The 25,994-nt window shown below is 43.7% G+C and overlaps 1 protein-coding gene across 1 annotated transcript in view, besides 2 other annotated features; it reads right to left on the bottom strand.

The window, feature by feature from the left end:
• The window catches only part of SORL1 (sortilin related receptor 1), a 181,450-nt gene that overhangs the window by 13,552 nt on the left and 141,904 nt on the right, over window positions 1–25,994 (bottom strand). The window contains exons 32-43 of the mRNA NM_003105.6: window positions 24,440–24,589; window positions 15,888–16,019; window positions 14,973–15,099; window positions 14,641–14,810; window positions 13,255–13,367; window positions 12,922–13,026; window positions 12,036–12,108; window positions 9,054–9,136; window positions 7,380–7,476; window positions 5,157–5,341; window positions 1,319–1,438; window positions 295–459 (exon numbers count right to left, since the gene is read on the bottom strand). Coding sequence (NP_003096.2) covers window positions 295–459; window positions 1,319–1,438; window positions 5,157–5,341; window positions 7,380–7,476; window positions 9,054–9,136; window positions 12,036–12,108; window positions 12,922–13,026; window positions 13,255–13,367; window positions 14,641–14,810; window positions 14,973–15,099; window positions 15,888–16,019; window positions 24,440–24,589 — 1,520 coding nt within the window. The remainder of the gene's footprint in view (window positions 1–294; window positions 460–1,318; window positions 1,439–5,156; window positions 5,342–7,379; window positions 7,477–9,053; window positions 9,137–12,035; window positions 12,109–12,921; window positions 13,027–13,254; window positions 13,368–14,640; window positions 14,811–14,972; window positions 15,100–15,887; window positions 16,020–24,439; window positions 24,590–25,994) is intronic.
• Window positions 5,398–5,692: a silencer, noted in NCBI's record as "tiled region #6864; K562 Repressive non-DNase unmatched - State 24:Quies". NCBI's record gives its function as "represses a minimal TATA promoter and a strong SV40 promoter by Sharpr-MPRA in K562 cells {active_cell/tissue: K562}" and the evidence as "EXISTENCE:reporter gene assay evidence [ECO:0000049][PMID:27701403]".
• Window positions 23,758–24,957: an enhancer, noted in NCBI's record as "P300/CBP strongly-dependent group 1 enhancer chr11:121465964-121467163 (GRCh37/hg19 assembly coordinates)". NCBI's record gives its function as "activates an origin of replication core promoter dependent on BRD2, BRD4, P300/CBP, MED14 and CDK7 cofactors, with strong dependence on P300/CBP, by STARR-seq in HCT116 cells {active_cell/tissue: HCT116}" and the evidence as "EXISTENCE:reporter gene assay evidence [ECO:0000049][PMID:35650434]".

Here is a 25,994-nt window from a genome sequence, read left to right as displayed (position 1 = left end):
CAGGCCTTTGTTTGCTAATCCCTGTGTGAGAGGGTCAGGGAAGGAAATATCAGCAGCGGAGGAGAAAGAGGGACAAACCAAAATGGTAGCTAGGAATAATGGAGAAGTGCCAACTAAGAAGAGGTCCCTGTACGGACCCCATCTTTGGTCAGACTGAAATGGGAGAGAGACCTCCTGCTGAGCGCCAGAAACCAGGCCTGTGTTTCTTGCCCCATTAGAGGATCCCCTTCCATCCCACCCCACCCTAACCAGGCCAGGAATAAACAAAGAGGCCTGGAAGCCCAACCCACTCACCAAGTCCTGGTCAGGAGAGTCATACGGTGATTCCCACTTGATGACCACGGAGGTTTTGCCCGTATGAACCACATGCAGGTGACGGGGTGGAAGCCTGCTGTCCGGGATCATCTTCACTACAACGTAGTCAGAGGATGGCCCCTGGTAGGGTACCACTACACGGACCTGAAGCCCAAGCACACACGTAGGAAAAAAAATACATCATGGCCTTATGCAATCTTTATTAAAGTATTTTTTCAACAAAATAATGACAACAATTAAAATTCAGTTAGTACAAAAAACCATAAAATATAAAATAATTTCCCACCTACCCCAAATCATTTTCCAAGAGGTACCACTGGTAAGAGTTTTTGTGCTTCCTTCCAGAAATCCCCTATGCATATATAAGGAAGGATATGTATGTACGTGTATCCTTACACATATATGCACGTGTATATGAAGCCTATCTTCCTCAAATATTTTTTATACAACTGAGAAAATGGCACACATATTATGCTCTTGGCTTCTTTTATATAATAATATAGCGTAGAGATTTTTCCATATCAGTACATTTAGAGTTGTCATACTTCTTATGAACGGCTGTCCTGCATTCCATTGCATGAATAAACCATGATATGTTTAACCAGTCCTCTCTTCATAGACATTTAAGTTGCTTCACATCTTTTGCTATCATAAGAATAATAACGTACCATGTATCTTTCTCCATATATCTTGGCACACACATAAAAGTATGTAGGCTAAATTCCTAGAAGTGGAACCTGATAAAAATTTTTGATTTATCTATACTTGTGATCATCTGCCAAGTTATCAGTCCTCCATAACGGAGCTGCAGTTGGTGAAAGTGGCCGTTCATTCTGTATTTCAAGCAAGAACCTGATGATGCTTATGAAGAAGAGGAAGTTGCCTCTCGTCACACACATCAATCCTGGAGTCCAGGTATGCAAGCTCCCCAGGTCCTGGGTTGAGACCAGAGCCCAGGACTTAAGACATCCCTTAAAAAACTGAAACGGTATGGGAAACTTACCAGAAACAAATACTGCTCATCCTTACTGACAATGACCGTCTTGTTGTGGAGTGAAGTAGTCAAGCTCTTCGGGTTGCGATAGAGGTCAAGAAAGGACGTGGCATAGAAAATACCATAAACCTGGTAAAAGCAGAGAATGGAAGAGGACATCAGCTCATGGGCCGATGATCTCATTTCCTTGAAATCCCCAATTTAAGACCCTGGAACTGCTTCAAAAGAGCTCACAGAGAAGTCTTCATTCAACATTTATTACATTTACAGCATTTACAGAGAAGGCACTTGGGCCAGGCACTGTATGTAGAGCTACAAAAATAAATATGATGTGGTCTCTGTCCTCAAAGCGCTCCTTCTGGAGGAGAGGCGGGCAGAGAAGAAAAACATACATAATTATAAATAACAAGTGGCAAACATAGAGTGTTAGATGCTACACCAGAAACCCACATGATGAGCCAGGGAACGGGGGGTTATTAAAGAGGGGGTGTCATTCTACCATTGGCAGCACAGACGTGGGCTCCAAGGGGATGTGCTGAGTGGGAAGGAAAGCCATGGGAGCTTGCACAGTGGATGCGAACACCCCAGGAAGTATGTGGAGGGAGGGAAGGAGAGCAGACACGGCTGGCTGTCCAACAGGTACCCATCCTCCCTTTCTTCCTCAGAACTCTGGTTCTGATTGAGAATTGCTGCCTGGAAAAAGTCTAAACTGCGAACCTCCCTAAGCTAGAAGAGGCTAGACAAAGAGCTTCCAGCCATTGAGATGCAGAAGTGTCGCAGGAAAAGCTTTAGGAGGGCTCATTACAACAGAGGGAGGAGCCCTTCTTCCTGCCCTCTGGTCGCCTGGAATACAGATCATGACTGCAGGCCCAGGAGGCCTCTTGTACCATGAGGTGAGCTTGAAGACACATGCCACAGGCTGGAGATGACAGGGCTCAGGTGCCCAATCAAATCGTGCTGCCACGACAGAAGCCCTGCACTGCTCAACTCTAAACTTGTTTTAATTACAAGAGGAAATAAACTGTTCGAAGCCACTGTTACTGTCACTTCCTCTGCTCTATGCATCCCTGCTTAGTCCTAACTGGTAAACGTTGGAAACTGAGGGAGTTTCAAGCAGGGAAGTGGGAATGGGATGAAGTTTACAGCAGAAAGTGGAAGCCGAGGGAGTTTATAACTGGAGGGTGGGAGCTGAGGAAGCTTTCTTTGTAAGGCACAATCAAAGAGCATTTTCTCCAAGAGTTATGTGCACATGTAAGACATGGGCTTGACGAGGACTGTAGGAGCTGCAGGATCCATGGGATGAGCAGGAACTGAGCGGGGATCCACAAAGGGATTTCCAAGTCCCAGGCAACAGGGTGACTTTCTCCAGCACTGCTCAGCAGCTGTGAGGACTAAGCTCTGATTTTTTAAATCTTGCCCAAATCCCTATCTAAGGGGTCTGGGGAGTCATGTCCTACAAACCATAAATTCTCATCAGATGGGTTTTATTTAATCCTATATATCGTGACTTACTTTCCAAGTTGACTCTGGCATAACATTATGAGACAAGGAAGAAAATCAAAATATTTTACCCTAAAACATGTTTCTTTGTCATATCTTGAAATGGCCCTGAAAAGCTGTCCTTTGTGGGGGAACCTTCGCATCTGTAAAGAATCTCTATTAACATAGCTAGATCTTTTTCTTCCAGGCCCTCCCAATCCTAAAGACATTAGCTAAAAGTCTTGCACCTTTTAAAGATCTGGATAGGAAACATCTGTCATCTATTTCCCCTAAAGGCAGCCACTAAAAGACGTCAAAAGAACCTTGGTCTCCACAATCTTTTATCTTAACCTGAACATCTCCTTTCCGTCAATCTCAGGTCTTTAGACAAACTCAACCAATTGACAACCAGAAAATGTTTAAATTTCCCTATAGCCTGGAAACCCCTGCTTCCCCATGCCCACTTTGAGTTGTCCTGCCTTTCTGGACCAAACCAGTGTATTTCCTAAATGTATTTGATGGATGTCTCATGCCTCCCTAAAATGTATAAAACCAAGCTGCATCCCGGCCACCTTGGGCACATGTTCTCAGGACCTCCTGAGGGCTGTGTCACGGGCCATGGTCACTCCTATTTGGCTCAGAATAAATCTTTTCATATATTTTACAGAGTTTGACTCTTTTTGTTGACAGATGAGAAAGGACAGACAGATGGGAGAACACAGACAGAGAAACAGGAAGGGAAGCCCCGAAGGGGGTGATCGCCTGGGAGGATGTAGGAAAGAGAAGCGCTGAGGGACTCAAAGGGGTCCCAAAGCAAATGCAGGTGGAGCTGCAAAGCATGAGATGGGAGTAGGCCAAGTCGGGGCTTAGAGTACAGAGGGAGGATGACATCACCGAGGACAAGGCTGGTGACCGCCAGGGATGGGGTGTCTCTGGAGAGGAAAGGGGTCCACAGAGCCACGGGAGCCAAGGGATGAGAGGTTCCCCACATGCACAGTGACAATGGCACTTCTCACAGTAGACAGGAAAATCATGAGAGCTGCCAGGGTCCTCAATGAACTAAAGAGGGGCAGAAGCAGAGAGCTTCCTACAGGTGATCTCATTTGCGCTCTCACCTCTGAAAGCCACCTTTAGTGTGACCAGTGCATGAGCTGAGATGAGGTGCAGGAAGCCTCCTCCAACTTCATGCACAATTGGAGACCCTAAATCAAGTCAGGCTTCAGTGTTCTGTGCAATTGCCCTACTCTGGAGAGATAGTTGGGGGTGATGAGGCGGTCATGTGCTGCCAGGTATATAAATGGAAAGAAAGGGTTCTTTATGAGTAGACTCAACTTCCAGGTAAAAGAGAGCTCCGGGGATAGGTCAGGGCTTCTCATCACTGTCCCTGCCTCAGCGTCAGGTGCTGGGACACACAAAAGAGCAGAGGCTGTTAAATTAGCCAGACCTGAGCTGAAACTCAGTCTACTGCTTGTGAGAGCTTTAACTCTGGCAAGTTACTTCGCCTCACTGAGCCTTAGTTTCCTTGCTGGCAAAATGGGAATATTTACCCACAGAACCAATGAAAGGAATAAGGGGGAACAGGGGTTTATCGGATTTTATATTGTTCCTGGCACTTACTGGCTGCTCAGTAAATCTTACTTCTTCCTTCTTCTTCACTGATTTTACAGACAGCTACTTGCAAACTTTGGTTATTTCCCTATGACTCAGCCCTGTGACAAATGCACGCTGAAGATATCCTCAGAAGACCAGACCTAGGCTAGTTCCTCCGCTCATCACTAAGGATTTACTAATTCCTTATTATAAATTTACTTCTGTATGCTTTTCCATTGAGAAAATCCAGAAAACAATCCTTCCCTTCAAGGAACTTACAAACTAGTTAGGAAGGTAAGAGTAACAGACAAAAATTATCAAATAGGGTAAAGCTGTATTCAATGAAATATCATGCTATATGGAACCAACTATAAATATATTAGGAGTTCATAGGGAGAGAGATCAACTATAGAAGGGAGGATTTTCTTGCATAGCAAGAGGAGGGAAGGACACCAAGGAGGAGAAAGGGCATAAGCCAAGTACAGAGGCAAGAGGGGGACGAATGTGCCAAGAGCCTTGGGACGGTTGATCTAAAAGCAAAGGGGACACACTGGGGAGGAGTGGAAAGTAAAACAGTAGACTCAAAAAGGAGCACAGATCTGATCATAGTGAATCATAATGCACGTATGAAAACAAAGGAAAAAGAAAGGCCTATATCCAAGAGCAGCAGGGGCACCGGAACATTTGCAAAAGAGAGAAAAGCCCTGGAGTTGTGTGGTGGCGTAGCATTAGGGGACAGTCCACACTCACTTTGTGATGGTCATTCTGGCTGACTCACCACATTCCGGGGGCCGGTCCAGGTACATTCCACTGCAGTCTGGTTGATGGCTTTGGCCTTGAGGCTAGGTGCAGGTGGGCGAACCCCTCTGGTCATAACATGCTCAAATGCCAGAGGGCTATCCCCCAAGTCAGTCTTGGCCCAGGCAGAAATCTCATAGGATGTATGAGCTGTCAGATTGCCAACTGTGAAAACAGGAAAAGGAGATTCCAGGAGGAAGTTGGGGGTGTTAGTCAAGAACGTGTCTTGGTACATGCACTTTTTTAAAAAAAAATAGTAATCTCTTGACTTAAATGAGTCCCATGTGCTGTAGGACTGTCATTAGATGACAAATTCATTCAACGTTTATGTACTGATGATGACGGTACGTAACACACTGCACAAGCACTGGGTAATTTCTTTAAAGCTGCCCATCCGCGGATAGGAGTTGGTACAACGCTCCTGGAAGCCATTTGGCCTTGTATAACAAGAACCTTGGAAATCATACCCTTCAATCCAGTTATCCCATGAAGTCAGAGAAAGACTCAAAAGTGTGTTTAACAAGGATCCCCATCACAGTGTTACAGCAGGAAAAAACTGAATGTAATTTGATTGTCTAGTAACAGGATAATAATTAAATAATGTGCATTCCATCAACTACTGTGCAGGCACTAAAGGTTGTTTCAAAAATATTTGATGACACTGGAAAATTCTCACAATTTTATGTGAAGTGAAAAGGGCAGGATACAATACTACCTATGGCATTATTCTGATTTTAGAAAAAAGATATAAAGAGATCAATCCATGGAAAAATATATTAGAAGATATCTGAAATGTAAAAGTGAAATTATAGGCAATTTTAATTTTCATTACACTCTTTTTGTTCTCTCAATTTTCTGAAACAAATATGTATCCCCTTTCTGATCAGAGGAAATGCTATTAAAACTAAGAAAAAGAAAAGTGAGAAGGGGGAGGTTACGCTAACAAGATAGCCTTTGGAATCAGAAGGACTGGGGTTTAAGGCCTGACTCTATACTTTGTGGTTGTATAACCTTGGGTAAAGTATTTAAACTCTCTATTTCCTTGTTTGTAAGATGGAGAAAAAAATAACAGCACTTACAGCAGCTGCTGGCTGGCAGGGAGAAAAAAAGAAAATGCTTAGGAAGTGCTTGGCATAATGCCTAGCATCGCACTAGCCCTAATAGATTTCAAACAACAGCTAGTTAAGGCTTCTGCTCCTGACTCTGCCAGTTTCTACTGGGGCAACACTAAGGCAATGAGATCATAGGCTGTGGAGTTAGAAAGATGTGGGTTCCAATCCTGGCTCTGCCACCGTCTGAGCGTATGACTTATTCTTTCAACTTCAGTTTTGCCTCTGTAAAGCGGGCATATCTCACGGAATTATACTTGGGGTTATGTAAATAATATGCGTAGAATGCCTGTGTAAATGCCTGTACATGGTAGGTGCTCAATGTGCAAAAGTCAAAATAACAGCCTCCTCGGGCACCTTGTAGACTTTCAGTTAAAAAAAAAAAGTAACAATAGAACATTTGTAGTCTCTACTTTATAAGGCTATGACAAGGACTCAATAAAAACATGACTGAAAGTGCTTCACAGCCTAGAAGGAGGAGACAGGAAGAAGCTCCCAAGTCATTCTCAACAGTTACAGGCAGCTTTCGCCACTTAGAAATAAATTAAAATCCATCCTTTAGCACGTGCTTAGATAGAGGAATTTTAGCTGAGACTTGCTGCTGGTACATACGTAACAGGGACTGGACCACTCCTCCCTTAGTTTGTTGTCCATTTCTCCAGTCAACATGTATTTACTGAACACCAGTTATGCATAAGGCCTTCTGCTGTCTCTCATTAGCAACGGGAGAGTGAACCAGACTAGAAAGGACAGACAGGTAACTGTCTATATCTAAGAACTCTTTCTTTTGGAAATCAAAACTCATCTGCAGAGAATTAGTCTTGCCTCTGTCCAATTTTCCTCCTTATGGCCCCCAACTTCCACTAAGGGTCATGAGGTTGGAGGAGGGCTCGAGGGGCCACTGAGTGAATCCCTCTGCCTAGAATCAGCAGCACACTTATAGGATCCTCAATGCACAAGAACCTGTCAACACAGAACAGCTTCCAGAGAATACCTCCCCTTCCCTGGCACCCCCAGTCAAGCTCTACAGCGGGAAAGCATTGGTCCAGCCTTACCCCTTCCTGCACACACACTGACCAGCACCAAAGTGTTACCTTTGTGTGACAATATGCTTCCTCGGAAGTTCAAAGTTCTCCTCTCTTGCTTGTGGGTGTCAAATGCCCAGAAAAGGTTCACCACATAGCCATTCACCTGCCGAGAACCAAGAAGCATGTTAGATGAACAGCTAGTCATGGGGCACACTAAATACAAAAGGCAGGATTAAAAATACACCTCTTTCCTGTTCTTTCCTTGGGTATCTCATTCTTACAGTGAACAGGTTGTTTTTTAAAAATTTTAAACAGGTTCTACTTGTGCTACCATTAGCTAATATTTAGTTGTACTCCACCTACTTCTAAAAACAAACGAGACCATATTTAATTTATAGATTCAATGAAACAAAAAAGTGAATGAAGAATAAAAGGACGAGAACCAATTAATAAAGGTAGAAAGAGGAAACACTGGAAAGATAATTAGGCCATGGAAATTAAGGATAAATCCTTGCAGTCAAGGCCAAGAAGACAATCCATACAAAACAGGCTGGTTAGATCTCATTGTCTAACTACAGAAAATACATCCACCCATCAGGAAAGACTACCTTTTCCAAGTCCTGAGCTCATAAAAAGATTTGATCTGAAGATCGTTAAATATGGGACAACGAACAAAAATATTTTCAAGATCAAAGACTACAAGACAAGAAGCATATAAGCCCACTTCTTTTTTCTTTCTTTTCTTTTTTTCTTTTTTTTGAGACAGAGTCTCACTCTGTTGCCCAGGCTGGACTGCAGTGGCATGATCTTGACTCACTGTAGCCTCTGCGTCCCAGGTTCAAGCGATTCTCCTGCCCCAGCCTCCAAGTAGCTGGGATTACAGGCATGCACCACCACACCTGGCTAATTTTTGTATTTTTAGTAGAGACGGGGTTTCACCATGTTGGCCAGGCTGGTCTCGAACTCCCGACCTCAGGTGATCCACCCATCTCAGCCTCCCAAAGTGCTGGGATTACAGGCGTGAGCCACCATGCCCGGCCGAGGCCATTTCTTATATCAACCCATTCTGAAGCCAAGGTCATGACACTAAATGGCAGTTAAGTAAATGGCAGAAAGACTCTGAAGGTTGCTTGTCCCAACTTGTCCCAACACAAATTCATCAATGGAGAGGCTGTGAGGAGGGACAGATAAGAAGGAACACTATGGAAAGCGGATCTCAGCTTGAGGAACCACATGGGCACAGGTAACAATGATGAAGTCGGCTATGCAGAGGGCCAGTAGAGGGGATGGCGGTGCTGGAAGAGGAAGATCTTAGGTGGATGGAAAGTGAATATGTTTCCAAGGTATCCAACTCTCCCACAAGAAGGTTGTTCTTCCACTGTGAGCGCCTCAGCATTAGCGCTTAGCACCAGGAAATCCAATAAAGCTGAAAATTACAGGGCATACATATTCTGTTAACACCAACTCTTTATTTGCACTGTAGCTGTGAACCATTTAATTATATGGTTAAGGATAAAAAGGCACCAGGCTGAGGCAGAATAATTACATGTGAAGACTCAAGTTGTTCTTCATGGGGGAAGGAACCACCCTAGTCCTGGTATTTTAGCTTCACTAGATCTAGCCGTTCGTTTTTTTTGTTTTTTGTTTTTTGTTTTTTTCCAGTCTTACTGTGCTATGTCCTTTCAGTTCCCATACAAAATAAAGCCCCATCCAGCTGCTGGCTTGAAATTCCCACATTACCTTGATATCACTCTCCATGGTCAGGGTGAAGCTTAGATAATTTTCACCATAGCTGTCAATGTGGATATCTGGTGGTGGGATCACTGAAAACAAAAAGGAATTCAAAAACAGAAGCCACGTGATGAAAAGTGAGGAAGGCAGGACTTAATAGTTTTCAACTCAACGGACAAAGCCATCTTTCAGTCGGGGAAGAAAGGGTATTTCTTTGGCAGTGTTCCTCATCGATCTTTTTTTACCACTGTTTTCCTGAAGCTAAGGTTGGTCCACAGTTGCTTGGTGAACACAAAACTATCTTGGCTCAGTCGGCTATCCTGGCAATTAGGTCAGGCAGAAAAGTTCCATTTTGTAAAGGTCCCAAAACAGCCCAGCTTCAGCCTGGTTCTTAAAGGAACAGGGATCATTCACTGCGAGTGGCATCTTGATTGGCACTAACAAAGTCCCACCAATCTCAAGTCCTTTCGGAAGGCTGACAATGGAGTAAATCGTAAATGGTAAACGTGCGTGTGGCAAAATGGAAAGAATGTGGCCTCTGGAAGCTGGCAAACTTGAGTTCGAATTCCTGTTCTGGCATCTGTGTAACCTAGGCAAGTTACTGATCTTCCTGGAGCCTAGAGATGTTATCTGCATTTCACAGAGCTGGGAAGGTTAACTAAAATAATGTATGTGTGATGCCTAGCACTCAACTGATACTCTCTTTCTCTTCCTTTCCAATATAGCGTCACATATGGCCAACTAAACAACTAGAAACCACTGGTGCTCTCAAAAAGACTGGAGCTCAAGCTAAGAGTCGAGGGGGCAAGGAGAAGTGGCCAAGGAAAAGACCCCTCTCAGTTCAACCAATGAGCGCCATGCTTGTCATCTGGAAGGTCTTCCCACCAGATGGCTGACAGTGCTTGGCCCAGCATGATCTAAAAGAGCTCAATGGATCAATATTATCAGAAAATATTATTTAAACAACAACTTGCATATTAGACTCTCCACACATATGCCCCTTCTATAGACTGGGCAAGAGAGACTCAAAGGAGCAGATAAGATTTGGTGGCAAAAGAGATGTGTCAAAGTCTGAAGAGGTCTGTCCAGATGATCAATCATGTAATAAAACTAGGCTTCAGGAAAATGCAATAACCGGAAGAAGAAAGGATATTGGAAGCTTCAGGCGGCCAACACAGAGCAAAACAGTGCGAGTGCTGCATATGGTAAAGCTGACTTGAATTATAATCATGGCAACCAGGGACAAGTCACAATCCACTCCAAACCCATTTCCTCAGCTACACAATGAGGATAAGGATACTTATCTCATAGGATTCATAAGGATTAATAAGGGATCCATTCACGAGCAACAATAGCATGGTGCTTAGTGTATAAGAAGTGCTCAGGGAATGGTGGCTTTTCTCATTGTCATTACTAATCCACTACATTCACCAATTAACCTGGCGCGTCTGGCTGATGCCTCTGCTGTCTTTGTCCTTTATCTTAAAACGTTATTATGATACTATGTCACAGATATTTTACAACAAACACTTTTTGGATGTGGCACACAGCTGCCTTCTGTACAAATCCTAGCCCAAATATATGCAAGCAGCTGAGATTCATCAAAATCACAGAAAAGAAGTTAAAGAGAACCAACCATCCACTGAGATTTTCAAATGCAGTTGTGACTTGTGCCTTCGGAATTCAAGGTACATGTATTTGGTTGCTCTTCCAACATCCCTTCTTGGTATGTGTGGTCAGTGTTTTGAAACAGACTTTGTAGAGAGAAGAGATACAACAATAAAAATTCTAGGAGAGTGTGAATTCAGCAGGCTTTCTCTAATACCTGCAAGCATTCAGCTCCAAAGACCATCTGGTGGCACTACGTTTGGCCGCCTTGGGCCCTGATCTCAAAGGCTCCAGATTTTAGAGGGGACTAGATAGTGACTCTCCATGACCCAGAGCCTATTCCTCACAGGCTTAGGTTAAAGTAAAATCTTCCAGTCCTATTGCATGCCACAGTGTCCATCTGGTTTTAATACCTGGAAGTCCAGAAATGCAAGTCCCCAGTGTCAAGGCTAAGGTCAGGAAAACCACTCTGGAAAATGAGTTGTAGTCCATCTCCCAAAGTATGCCAGAACCCTTCATTTAACTGCTTCGATTCACTCAATCATCAATTATTTCCTTAGTCTCTACTAGATGCCCGTGATAGAGTAGAGAAAAACAGACCAGATCTCTGCCCTCATGAGGCACTCGTGCAAGATGCTGAGCCCGCCACCCCCGGCAAGCAGGGCGGTCCAGTAGGCCGCATGTGTCTCAGCCCAGAGAGAAGCGTGGAGCACAGTGGTTAAGAGCACAGGCTTTGGAGTCAGGCAGATCAGGTTCCAGGGCCAGCTCTGTCACTTACTGATTGTGTGGCCTGGGACAAGTGACATAACCTCATTCCAGTTCCTTATCCTTTCTTGTAGTTGTTCTGACTGTTCAATTAGATGAGCTGATGTACGCAAAGCAGTGAACACTCTAGAGTGTCCTGCCCTTGGCAAGCCATCAGTTATTACTAATATCAGCTCTAGTACAAGATAAAAAACCACCTACACACAGTTTGCCAGTGCCACTGGGAGAATAACAAGAGTCAGCATGGTGCTTTCTTTAAAACCCCGTAAGTGAACATGCACAAAATCATCTTCAGCTTTGGTGAGAAGGAAGGACTCCTTCTATTTTAGATATTTTGACTACTCACAAAGGGCTGCGCATGATGGCCTTTGGAAATCCCTTTGTATGTCTGCATTAGAAGAAATGCTCAATACTAGGAGGAAAAAGACACTCAGTCACCCCAAAAAGACTCTATCTAAAGCACTACAGAGACACCCAAAAATGTGCGTGTGTTGGGGAGAAGAAAGTTGTGTGATGTTTTTCTAAACTACGTTTCTCCATTTTCCGGTCATACTGAAAGTCATTTGAAAGGGTTTGTATAATATTTTCTCTAAATCTGCAAATGCTGGGATCATTTACCTTTTCCTTTTATGGTGGTAATGGATTTAGAATCGCTCCAGTTTCCTATTCCACGACTAGTCACCGCAGCCACCTTTTCAAATCAGAGGGTGAATTAATATGAAATAAAGGCAATACACCATACACCATACAGTAAGAATACTGAATGAGCTAAAGGGGTGAGATTTTGGCAGTGAGGCTGGAAAAATTTTATACAGAGTGATCCAGAATATTCAGAGGCCCCAGCATCTGAAATAAGAGGGCAAAAAAGCCAAGGGAAGGAGCTTGGGTAAAGGGCATTATGACAGTCCTGAGATCAGAAAATTTCTATTGATCCACAAATATCAAGGTTCTTCTAAAGGGCAGGTGTATGGGGGGGTGTGTTCATAAATACACACATATACAAAAAGGGTACTGACAAAATTATCAGTGTGAGAGTCATGAATGTGCACACTTAATGGTCTCAGCAAACATGTTGTTCACAAAATCTATCTCTTTCTGCTAAAAATACTAAAAATATATTTCATAAGAACCTCATAAAATCAGTTTAGAAAGACTACTTATCATAGCTCTGCATCATCCTGCAGCTAAAGATAAGCAGGAAAGAGCTGACTGCAAAAGTATAGGAGCTGGAAAGCTAGCAGAATACCGGAGTTAAAAGCAGGGAAAGCGGCATTCCCATAAACGCCCGGTTATCTACAGAAACTCTGATGTCAAGCTCTTTGTGGTGTCCATTTAAGAGACTGAAAGAAACTCTGAGCTCCCCCGTCCCAGGGCAAGAAGTTGGGTATTTTGCAGATTACTAATATGCATCTCACAAAGGTGAGTAGAGAGTTCTCACAAAACAGCAGCAATTTCGCTCAGTTCTAAGACTGCATGGATGGCTGGAATGGATGACGACACTCACTCTGACGGTGTATAGAGTGTTGACCAATAAGTTCTTGATTTCTGTAAAGTTACTAGCAGCCCTCTGGGAGGCCCACATCTTGGAACCACTCCTGCTGTATTCTACCTAAAGGGAGAAGAAAAAAAATGTGAGTAAAGGGAACCAAAGGTCCAGGGCATCCTAATATCTTGCAAGGAGGCTGGAGGAGAGAAAAGATGGTGAGGAGCAAAATGTTCTGACGGATGGGTCATCACCTACAAAGCTAAACCAAATCAACCCCCTCGTCATACAGAATACCCAGAAATCTCCTAGCACCCCCAACACACATACAGCCAACTCATGGAAGGTACTTACAATGTACTCACGGATGAGGCCATGGGTGTGGATGGGAGGAGCCCAGTGGCCTACAATCACACCTTCTGCTTCCCTGGGGAGTGACAGCTGGAGATTTCGAGGGGCATCTGGCACTAGAAAAAGAGTCAACTCAAGGTTAAAACCCATCTGCATAGCAGCCAACCAGAGGAATTTTCCTGGGCTTAGAACAAGGACAAGAACGACTCCACAGCCGGCATTGAGACTATCCACTAGAAAGGCTGCTAGCTTGGTCGTCACATTGAAAAGACACTTTTCCTCTTCTTCCAAAAAGCAAGGTGTGCCGTCCACACATCACATCATGGCTCAGTTGAGTGTGTGGTAAATTTGTGGCTCATAAGGGCTGCAGGATAGAATCACTTGGGCAGGCTGAGTCACCACTGACCCTGAGACTTCCATGCTGAGATCTTAATTGTCAATGACAGCACCTGCTGCCTCTGCTTCTTGTACAACAAAAACTGTACTGTGGGCATGACTACCAAAAAATAAGACTAATTTTGTAACATCACAGAATTTCTATATCCAAATGAATTTGATCATCTTCAAAGCAGGCTCCTTAATGAGTTTAGCGCTAGCATATTCAGGATACTTTAGGCAATGAAAAAAGATGACATTCAAGCAGACAGTTGCTCATGTCAACTACTTTGAAGTAGGGAGGAGGCGAGGAACTCTCTTAGACACATAAATTTGGTAAATTTCTTAAAAACTTAGCCACAAAGCCAGGTGCAGTGGCTCACACCTGTAATCCCAACATTTTGGGAGGCTGAAGTAGGTGGATTGCTTGAGCTCAGTAGCTCAAGACCAGCCTAGGTAACACGGCAAAACCCTTTCTGTACAAAAATACAAAAAGCTAGCTGAGCATGGTGGCACACACCTATAGTCTCAGCTATGCGAGAGGCTGAGGCGGGAGGACCACCTGAGCCTGGGAAGACTGAGGTGGTGAGCAGTGATTGCGCCTCCACTGCACTCCAGTGTGGGTGTCAGAGTGAGACCTTGTCTCCAAAAAGAAAAAAACTTAGCCACAAAATTGCTGATATGCCTCATATTTTAATGACGATGACCTCCTCCTAAGTACCAAGTACTAGGAAATATCTAGAGGAGGAACGTAGAGGTAGAAACTAGACAAAAAATGCAAGAGGGCAATGGTGGAGAGAATCTTAAATTAACTTAAGGTACAAGAACAGTCTCTGATGCAGTAAGAAGAACAGATGTTTGACAACTCTGGCAAGACTATAAAGCTTAGCCACCATACTTCTGTACATGTGAGGCACACATATGTTCCCACATTCCTGAGAATACTCAGAAAGACCCTCACAAACCCCGACCTGAGGTCTTACCCATGCCATAAAAATTAACTGAAACACTTACATCCCTCTGGGGTCCTCAGGGTCACAAAGTCATTGGTGTTGTGTGCCTTGCTGAGACACTGAACCTGTACTTTAACCTGATACGTGGTATCTGGTTTCAAGACTTTTAATACAGTGTTTGTCTTATTGCTGTGGGTCTCCAGAGTCTTCCATATGCTCTCTCCAACCACCCTGGCCCAAAAAAAAATAAAGATATTGTCACACTGGAGCAGCATGGGGGGCTGAGATGTCTGACTCCGTTAATAGCATGGTGCATGCCACTAGAGAGTTTACAGAACATCCTGGGGCAATGAAGACATCATTTTCATCTCCCATGACAAAGATGGGACCTACCTGTAGTAGACATTATATACACAAGAAGCAGAGGGCATTTTTTTGGGCCTCATCCAGGTCAAAGTCACATCCCCAGAGAAGTCAGCTGTCCACTGAAGATTCTGTACTTTGTACACAGTCAACTCATCTAGAGAGATAAAGGAGAAAAAGACAAACAAAGTTACATCTTGGCTGGGCGTGGTGGCTCACGCCTGTAATCCTAGCACTTTGGGAGGCCGAGGCGGGCAAATTGCCTGAGCTCAGGAGTTCGAGACTGGCCTGGGCAATGTGGCTAAACCCCGTCTCTACTAAAAATACAAAAAAAAAAAAGTTACATCTTACAAATCCTTAGATTTCAAAGGACTCCTGCTTTTAAACAGAACTACCATGATCTAGATTATCAGGAGGCCATAATCATTATCTGAAAAGAAATCTCAGAAAATGTAGTTGAAACCTCCCTATACAATCCCTCCTAGGGTCTCCTACTTTTCCGGTCGTGATATTTTCCCTCGAATTTCATCTTCCTCCTGCCTATGACAATTTAAGCCTATTTCTCCATAGAGAATGCTACAAGTCCAAGGACCATGTCATAGGGTCCATTACTAGACACTCCAGAGATAAGAACTGAGTTAATCCCACCAGCAGATTGAGACTGTGAGAGCCATGGTGTATGGGCATGAGGTGGGAAGTCCATAAAAAAAAAAAAATCCAAGACTAGCATTTCACTAACAGGGAGGAGACAGCTGCATGTTGTATCAGAGTCTGGCCAAGGCTCACCTCACTTGGGGCTCCAAAACTAGGCACAAATCTGTTTTATCCTTAGATTGAGCAACAGTTCAAAAGGGTCCTAGCTCAAGGTCTACACAGGAGGGGCCCTGGGGTAAGCGAGCCTCCCAGCCCAGCCCAGCCCAGCCCAGCCCGTGGACCGGCACTCACCACTGCAGGCCTTTTCATCGCTCTCGTCCGAGCAGTCCAGGAAGCCGTCGCAGCGCTCCGAGAGCACAATGCAGGCCTCCCCGTCCTCGCACTGGAACTCCCTGCTCATGCAAGTCAAGGTGCTGTGTGTGGCTGAAACACAGAGAGGCTTCTTAAGTCCACGGGGAGGGGCCGTATGGTACTAAAGGCTGGGCCCAAGTTTATTCCCATTTAGGCAAAGTACTAATTGGCTTCTGCTTCAAAACACACCTCTGGAATGACCAGTGGTGGAATCTATACCGGCACTAAGGTGCCATCTCATCTAACATTAACAACTGGAATCTGCATTCGGGAAGAGTGAGCACTTTGGAGTCAAACAAACTAGAGTTTAAATCCTAGATCTGCATGAGCTTGAGCAAACAGCTTAATATCACCTGAGTTCAGTTGCCCTATAAAAAATGGAAGTAACAATTCCATCACTATCATGTCTGCAAGGATCTAATGAGATCACACACCTGGAACACTGCCTGGCTCCTGGCCGGCATCAACAAACTGTAGCTATTACTCTATAGTACTATTAATTATTCTGCTACTATTATTAGTTTGCAATCTAGAAAGAGGAGCTGATTTCTGGTTTGAGTAACAGAAATAACAATGAGATGAATCCCAACAATATTAAGAGGCATGCATACTTTATGTAGTATTTAAAGTTGTTTGGCTTTTCAAAGTACTTGAACAGAAAATGAAATAATGCAAATAATGAGCACTGGTAAGTTAAGGGTTATGCAACTGTATGTCTAGGCTATTGACCAAAATGTGATGTGCTCTCCAGTTCTGAAAGTAGATTAAAACTGCACGGGAGGCTCCAAAAAGAAAGCAATGACCGTATAATTGCAAATGCTCCTGAAAAGAGAAAAGGTGAGAATGGCTGTAGACAGCAAATCTGCTATGCAGGCTGTGTACCTGGGTGGTACAAATCTGCTATGTAGCTGGTTGAGCCCAGGAACAGTAACTTGAGGCCTTCCTTATACAGATTCACACCTGCCTGCCCAGTCCTGGACAAGGAAGGGCTACATCAGAAATCCAATCCCACCAGTGATGAGGGTCTAAAATCAATCTTGCTCCTCCAAGTCAAAGACGTCCACATCCTAATCCCTGGAACCTGTAATATGTTACCTTATGTAACAAAGCAACTTTGCAGGTGTGATTAGATTAAGGACCCATAGGTAGGAGAGTTCAGCCTGGATTATCCAGGTGGGCTCTGTCTAATGACATGGGTCCTTAAAAGCAGAGACCCTTTTCTGGTTGTGGTGAGAGACAGAGAGAATACAGAAGACAGGTGAGAGACATGCAACATCACTGGCTTTGAAAATGGGGAAATTATAACAGACAAAAGGAGGCTGAACATGAGTGGCTCCATTCTGCTCCCCGCACCCTGCCCCCTGCCCATGGTGACATCTTGTAGGTTAACGGCCTCTGCCTATCTCTGCACGTAGGCCAAGCTAACTATGGAAGGAATTTTGTTTATAGTTTAATTTTAAAGCAAGGATGATAATAGTCCCTTCCTGAAACTAAGCCCTGAGGAAATAAAGAGAGTGTACACACAAGTAACAAAGTTATGTTAAAGGTGATATGAGCATTGTGACCTGAGCAAGGAAGCTTCATACGCCCCACTTCAGACCCAGGCATGTGGTCATGGGTCACCTCTTGACCTCGACCCCCTCCCTCTTCTCCTTCCTCCTAACATAAACAACCACACTTTGAGATATAGGTAGAGAAACTGGATAATGTTCCCATGAGAGCAACCAGGATGGTCAAGAGGAATGGATAAAGGATCCAGGGATATTTTCCTAGAGGTGAAAAGATACAAGGATGGGGGAGGTGGTGAGAAGACATGCAGACCACTCTGACAAGTGTTCTCCACTGATGAGTTTTCATGAGAAAGAAGAATTAAGACTTCTTTGCACGAGTCTCTAGGATGGAGGTACAGACTTCAGTTCACTACTTATTCAAAAACAATCCTGATAAAAAATTGTCAATAGAAGGGAACTATCAAAACCACTTATGAGGCTTTTCACAAACTATAATCCCCCATTCTCCAGGAAGATCATTGCATTTCAGAATTCTATTATATACTGAGCTGAAATTGGTTTGCCATGGTGGGGGGAAGCTCATGACAAATAAACGTGTATTCAAGAATTAGAGAAAGGTTTGAGAACCACTACTGTAATAGTCTCAGAAGCCCAAGATGGAATTCTGTGAACATTCATGGAGGTCCTACCATGACTCGGGCACTGCTCCAGATGTTAAAAATATGGGGATATGTAAAACAGATGAAGGACCTGTCCTCAGGGAGTTATCTTCTATTGAGAGAAACTGCAAACAAGTACATTAATCTGATCAGGTTATGCCATTTTATATAGGATTGCCAGGGAGAGACTATGCCCAGAGGGGATTATTTTGAAAAATACCAAAACCCCCATCACAGAAGTATTCTACTGGGTAACAATGTGGTCAAATATAATCAAACAACAGCTAAGCAGTAGAGCTGAGGACGTTGGAGGTTTCTTTATAAAGTATGTCTCAAAATTTTAAGAGCAAAAAAGCATGGGCTTTAGACTCTGGAAGTAAGCTGGGTGCGGTAGTGTGCACCTGTAATCCCAGCTACTTGGGAGGCTGAGGCTGGATTGCTTGAGTCCAGGAGTCTGAGACCAGCCTGGGTAACATAACCAGACCCTGTTTCTTAAAAAAAAAAAAAAAAACAATCATTAAAAAGTCAGGAAACAACAGGTGCTGGAGAGGAGGTGGAGAAATAGGAACACTTTTACACTGTTGGTGGGACTGTAAACTAGTTCAACCATTGTGGAAGTCAGTGTGGCGATTCCTCAGGGATCTGGAACTGGAAATACCATTTGACCCAGCCATCCCATTACTGGGTATATACCCAAAGGACTATAAATCATGCTGCTATAAAGACACATGCACACGTATGTTTATTGCGGCATTATTCACAATAGCAAAGACTTGGAACCAACCCAAATGTCCAACAATGATAGACTGGATTAAGAAAATGTGGCACATATACACCATGGAATACTATGCAGCCATAAAAAATGATGAGTTCATGTCCTTTGTAGGGACATGGATGAAATTGGAAATCATCATTCTCAGTAAACTATCGCAAGAACAAAAAACCAAACACCACATATTCTCACTCATAGGTGGGAACTGAACAATGAGATCACATGGACACAGGAAGGGGAATATCACACTCTGGGGACTGTTGTGGGGTGGGGGGAGGGGGGAGGGATAGCACTGGGAGATATACCTAATGTTAGATGACGAGTTAGTGGGTGCAGCACACTAGCATGGCACATGTATACATATGTAACTAACGTGCACAATGTGCACATGTACCCTAAAACTTAAAGTATAATAAAAAAAAAGAGCCTTAAATTAAAACAAAAAAACAATAGAATCTGGGAATAAAGTTGTCATTAACTCTGAAAATTCTTAAACTGATAATTAACCGATGATTAACAGGCACTTAGAATAGAACTTAGTCGCCTTCAGGGGACAGGTTCTCTAAAAAGAATCGCACCACACTAATCTCATTTCATTTTTAGATAAGGTTATCAAATTAATGTTGGAAAAAAACCGTGGATATAACACATCTTGATTTTAAGACCCTTTACCAGGCAACATCCCTGTGAATAAGCCAGATTGGAAACAGGCTGAAAACACTGATTTAAAGAATGCCAATTAATGAATTAATATCACCCAGGAGGGAGGTCCCATTTCTTTTCTCTTTCTTAATTATCTCCAATGTTCATCTTATTATGTGGTTGCTTATTCGCCTCAGATGTTCCTACTGTCATTTTGGTGAGTGTGGGATCAACCTGTCCCTGTTGGTTTAACACTCTAGGAGTCTACTTTGTTCATTCCTTTAATGTAAGTGTAGAACTGTACACTAATCCCTACTCAGTTCATCTGTGTTAGTTTTGGTGTATTCTTCCCTGATGAGAACTTTCAACATGGCTTTCAACCTAAATAAATAACCCAATCTGGTACTGGCTAGGTGATCCTCTTGGGACCTTAATTCTCCTATCTCCACAAAGGAGATAAGACCAAAATCGCAGTTATTTTGAGAATTAAGTGAAACGAATACATGATTTGCTTGAGAATAATGAATAGCACATTAAAACCCACCACCAAAGTTTAGCTTCCCTTTGTAAATCCTGAGTGTTTTGCCAGAAAATAAGCTATCTGGGTAACTCTGTATTACTTGCAAGTATGACAGGCATGCCTTCCAAGTTTTCATCTGGTCATTAATGACTTTGTAAAGAAGATAGGGCCACTTTAAAAAGCATCAGAAAATATTACCACAGCAAATAGAAAGAGTAAAGCAGAAGCAGCCTGAAAAAGACCACTTATGATAAAGCAAAGTGAAAAACAAAACAGCCAAAATGCAGGAAAGCAAACAGGCATAAGGCGACAGAAAGAGAAATAAGAATCTTTTAAGGTTTATCAAAGGCTGCCGCATCCTGCTAAACACCGAAGAACTTCAAAAAAAAAAAAGTACACAGCAGGAGAATTAATTATATTGAAGACAAACTCCATCAGCAAATCCAAACACTTATTTGTGCAAACTTGCATTAACTTTGAAAGTAAATGACAAAGCTCAACCTTACAACTGAAAGACATGACAAAGAAATGAGAAAGAGATGTAATATGGAAATGTTAACCAAGGAGATTAAAATATCCCCCACCATCTGAATTTATTTGGTTTATTTTTTTATTTATTTGACAGTTTCGCTCTTGTTGCCCAGGCTGGAGTGCAATGGCCCGATCTCAGCTCACTGCAACCTCCGCCTCCCGGGTTCAAGCAATTCTCCTGCCTCAGCCTCCCAAATAGCTAGGATTACAGGCATGCGCCGCCATGCCCAGCTAATTTTACATTTTTAGTAGAGATGGGGTTTCTCCATATTGGTCAGGCTGGTCTCAAACTCCCGACCTCAGGTGATCCACCCGCCTTGGCCTCCCAAAGTGCTGGGATTACAGGTGTGAGCCACCGCGCCTGGCCTATTTGGTTTATTTATATAGATTCATTTATTTATTTATATGGATTTATACACAAGTATCAAGAGATATCAAATTATCTTAATCTTTTTGGTTCTTGGGTTCCAGATAACAAGTGGCATGTTCTGGACAGAGAGAAATCCAACCCCAAAATGGATCTGAGTTCCAACAGGAATAGTTTAGTAATGAAAGATTCCTTATGATTTTCCTAAACTAAAATAAACAAACAAATAAATAAACAAAACAAAAAGAAATCACCCTACCTTGGAAATTGAAGAATTGGAAAGACTCAAAGGGTGTTTCTTGAAAAAAAGACCTCTAGGTAGCAACTTATCCAATTCCTTGACTTTTAGTCAAAGAAAAGACCCTTCAGGCAGCCGAAACAAAAGCAAAAGTGACATTCCTGGAGAGGAAAGGACGCATCAACGATGGGGGTCCTGGGACCCCTCCGAAAAGCCAAGTGTTAGGAGAAAAACCTATGCATGGTGGAAATAAATTAGTTTCATATTTCAAGTTAAGGACTTGGCCAAGATGATTTTTCTCTCAAGTCAGAGCACATCAAGGCCTAGAATGAAATTCGTCTCCAGAAGTCCATCACCGTAGAGATCATCACAAGGAACAACAAAAGTGTGAAAACTGGCAAAGACTCATTGCAACAGGCAAGCGAAGATCACTTGCATGGACAATTAATGCAGTAAAATGAAAAGGAAGACAAGAATGCCCCGGTTTCTGACCTCCCCTTTTCAGTTTCTTCCAGGATGACTTGCACTACCTCAGATGCTGATGTCAATCAATGAACCCACCATCGTGCTAGCCCCACCCAGGGAAAGCTGCGACTCCTCATCCTCAGTAACCCCCACATAGCTGGTAGCATCAGCTTTCACTGTCATCCTGGGGAAAACCCTCATTCTTCCTTTTTCCTTATTACCACAGCCAAAAAAACTCACTGGATGCTGTTAATAGTACCTCCAATATACAAAGAGGTCACTCTTCCTTTTTCATCTTCACAGTCCCATCAAATTAGCCTCCTAATGGGCACCTGGCTTCCAATCTCACCTCAGCCTTCTTCTATAACCCATTCCCCCCATGATGAAGTCCAAGTGATCTAAGATATAAACACCCCATCTCTGAAATCTTCAAGGGCTCCTTAGGACCAGAAAAATAAACTCCAAGCACAGGGGTCGCCCTATCTACCTCATGCCTACCTCTCTGCACTCACCTTTGTCCCACCCACAGCCACTCTACAGGTCTGTTTTCTTATGCCTCTGAGCCTTGGAATATACATGCTGTCCCTTGTGTCTAGAATGCCCATCATCTGCCACCTTGTCCCACCGTTGTCCAGGCACCATCAATGGGGCTGCCTCTCCTGGCCTGTCCCCACCTCTCCAGGAAGCTAGCCCACCTGCAAACTATGCCAGTTCCTTGGATAACTTCTGCTACTGCCTACACCACACTGTAGGATAGCTGCTGACTTGATGTCCCTCCCACTAGAATCTGTATTGCCAGTCACCGGGCGTGGTGGCTCAGGCCTGTAATCCCAGCACTTTGGGAGGCCAAGGTGGGCAGATCACTTGAGGTCAGGAGTTCGAGACCAGCCTGGCCAACATGGCAAAACCTGTCTGTACTGAAAACATAAAATTAGCCAGGCATGGTGCCGCATGCCTGTCGTCCCAGCTACTCGGGAGGCTGAGGCAAGAGAATCACTTGAGCTCGAAAGGCGGAAGCTGCAGTGAGCTGAGATCCCACCCGCCCCTGCACTCCAGCCTGGGCAACAGAGCGAGATGACATCTCAAAAGAAAAAAAAAAAAAACAAACAAACACACAAAGAATTTGTATTGCCAGAAACCTGATCAATGCCTGCCAGAAAAAAAACACAAAGAATTTGTATTGCCAGAAACCTGATCAATGCCTGCCACGCTGTGCATGATCAACAAAAATTTGTCCAACCAAACTGAAGATGTTACTGGATCCACACTCCTTCCTCTTAACCAAGCCTCTCCAGGGAGAGCCCAGTCGGGCACCCTGTGGAGAACAACGCTACAGACAGAGAAGGGACGGCCGACTCCCTCTTCCCTTTCCCCCTGAGCCTTACTGGGTGAACTATTTAGGACAGAGCAGTATTTGCCAATCTTGTCTGATGCTAAGAATCAGACAGGGCACCTCTGAAAAGGCTTGGGTTCCCGAGCATCTCCTCCACCATTGCTCTTGATTCAGTGGTCTGAGGTGAGATCACCAAATTCACATCTCTTATAAGCACTTCCACATGATCCTGCTAAGTCCCATAAATTTTGTAAATACTGAATTAGAGGAATTAAGAGATGACTAACCTCCACCTCAGATTCTATTCCATCTCTAAATGGTAAGACTTGGTAGGATTCCAAGTGAGGCTCAGTTTTTCATTGGTTGAGGAAGTCATTATTTTAAGATTAAAAAAAAAATGGGACCAGAACAGGGATCAAAGTGGAGGAACTGAGGCGTTTGCTGCTTAGGGTTAGGGCTTGGCGGCAGGGAGGCTCTCAGCAGAGAGTGAGAGGGGCGTCTTCTACATTCACCAGGACAGGAATCAGGCAAGCACGGACGAAGCCCTTATCCTGGCAAGGAAGGGAGTGTGACTGGCTAGGACGTCTGCTGTCTGCAGCCAGCAGGAGACTGGATGGAGGGGAGGCCCGCAAAGCAGGGATCCCCGAGCCAGAGCAGCACCCAACCGTCAGAGAGGCAGGCCGGTGGGGGGCTGCATAAGCACCGTCCAGCCATGCCCTCCCAAGTCTGCTACAGTAGGACAGACCAGCCAACGGCGGCATTAGCGTGCAGCCAGGGACTGAAAAGCGCTGACTGGTCACATGAGGATAAACGCTTGCAGAAGCCAGTGTCTCCCTCCATCACTCACTGCAAAGATCCTCCCTGGGTTCATCAGAGGACCAAACACCAGGACCCACCAACTCCAAACCCGTAGAGAATGCATGCATCACCTCACACTGGGCTCAGATGGCCCTGTGATTATTCCCCATGTGGCTCGGCACACTATCTCACCAACCATAATTACCCTAAGGACTGAGAATGAATTTTCTTAATGGGGTGCTAGAGGCAAACCCTCTAATAACACAGCTTCTACGCCCAGTAAGTGCTCACTAAATACTTCCAGAAGAATGAATGTACATACAGAAGAGTTGTGGCTTTCCCCAAGGGCGTTTTTAAAGAGTTAAACATGCTTATGAAACCTATTTAAAATATTTATCTTAGTCATTCAGAAAGTATTTTTATTGGACACGCTCCTGGTATTTAAAACGCAGTCAACTTATTAAAAAGAAGGTGACTAACGCAATGGTATGGGTGCACGTGGCAAAGCGCTTGTGGAGAATGCAGTAAGAGCATGGTTACGCAAGTACACAGACTCACACACAGGCGTGTGCTGATCCAGAAATGAAGCAGAAGCACCAGAACTGTGCTCTCTGCAGAAACGTGCCCAGGGGGTGAAGGGCTCTCTGACTACTCACGGCAATTGGCCTCGTCCCGGCCATCCTGGCAATCTTGGTGGCCGTCACAGCGCTTCCAGTTGGGAATACACGTCTTCGGTTGGTGGCATTCGAACTCAAATCGGTCACATCGCCCAAGTTGGGTGGGAGTGGAGGCAGCAGTGACGTTTGCTAAAATAAAAGATTTTTAAAATTTACTTTTTAATATTGAGGGAGCTGGCCAATAACAGCAACCAATCAATATGCTAGGAGATTACGGTGCTTTAGAAATTACAATGGGAACCTGAAGACAAATGCGAGTTCCGGATAGAGAGCAGAGTAGATACAGACATCTAATGTTGCTTCCCCACAGGATCCCACTAAAGCCACAGTCAAGAGATTGTTTTCAAAGACCTAAATCCACGAGGACATGGATAATGAGATTTGGGAGCTGGAAAGAAGACAGATAGCGGTATGTGACTAAAGAGGCCAGCGAAGGCTGCGTCCTACCCTAAGCCGTCACAGGAGAAAGCTCAGAACCAATCAGATCAACAACACACAGTCCTCCAAAAGTTCAGAAACTGGCATCTAACTGGAAGTGAAGAAGGAGTTAAAATAAGGGAACTGACTGAATGATGTTTAAGACGCAGCTACATTCCTTATATCCCCTCCTATCAGTCCCACGAGGCAACCAACCCATACGTCACCCCAATAGAAGAATGGAGGGTTGTTATTTGGAGAAAGTAAAAACAGAGAGTTGTTTAGATAGGCGTAGTTGACAGCAAGTATATCCTACTGATAAAAGGGGGATTAAACCTACATATGGAAGTCCCAGTCCTCTTCTCCGAGGATCCTAGCAATAAGGTAATTATTGTCTAGGCAGGAGATCTAATAATCTTCTCTGGGGAAAATGACCAGCTTCAGAGACTAACCCTGAAGTAACCAAGATTCAGAGTTCCCCCATGGTTCCCAGCCATGAACCTCGAAGTTGACAAGCCCACCCATGTGCTCAGAATTACTTACCAGCACTTTAGTCCCCAGCCTTAAATACAAGCAGCAACCAAGAACTATCTGAGAAAAGGCTTTGACATGAAAGGCAGAAAGCCAAACAGAGCCCTAACCCCCAAAAAGGCCATTTGGAGGAAATAGAGGCTTTGCAAGAAGAAAACTTCAAAAACAAATATCCTTAATACGTTCAGAAAGAAAGAATATATTATTTATCCAAGAAAAAAAGAAAACAGGATACCATAAAAAGGGACAGTGGTAAAAATGGAGAAGCTCTTAAAGTTAAAACCATGACAACAAAGATGAAAAACTCAGCAAAGAGTTGAAATATAAAGTTGAGTAAATCTCCTAGAAAATTGGGGGGGTGGGGGAAGGGAATTTTCAAAACTATAAAAGATTAAACAAAAAAATAAGGAAGAAGACCAGATCAGGAGACAATATATGAATGACAAGAGTTCCAGGAAATAAGAGAAAACAGAGAGGGAAATATCATTAATAAAAACTTCAAGAAAAATTCCTTGAACTAAAATATATAAACTTCCATATCAAAAAGCATGCAAGTGTCCGCTATGTTGGATGGAAAGGGTCTCAG

This window comes from Homo sapiens, chromosome 11 (assembly GCF_000001405.40).
Source record: "Homo sapiens chromosome 11, GRCh38.p14 Primary Assembly".
Taxonomy (NCBI): domain Eukaryota; kingdom Metazoa; phylum Chordata; class Mammalia; order Primates; family Hominidae; genus Homo; species Homo sapiens.
This window is presented reverse-complemented; position numbering and strand designations above follow the sequence as displayed.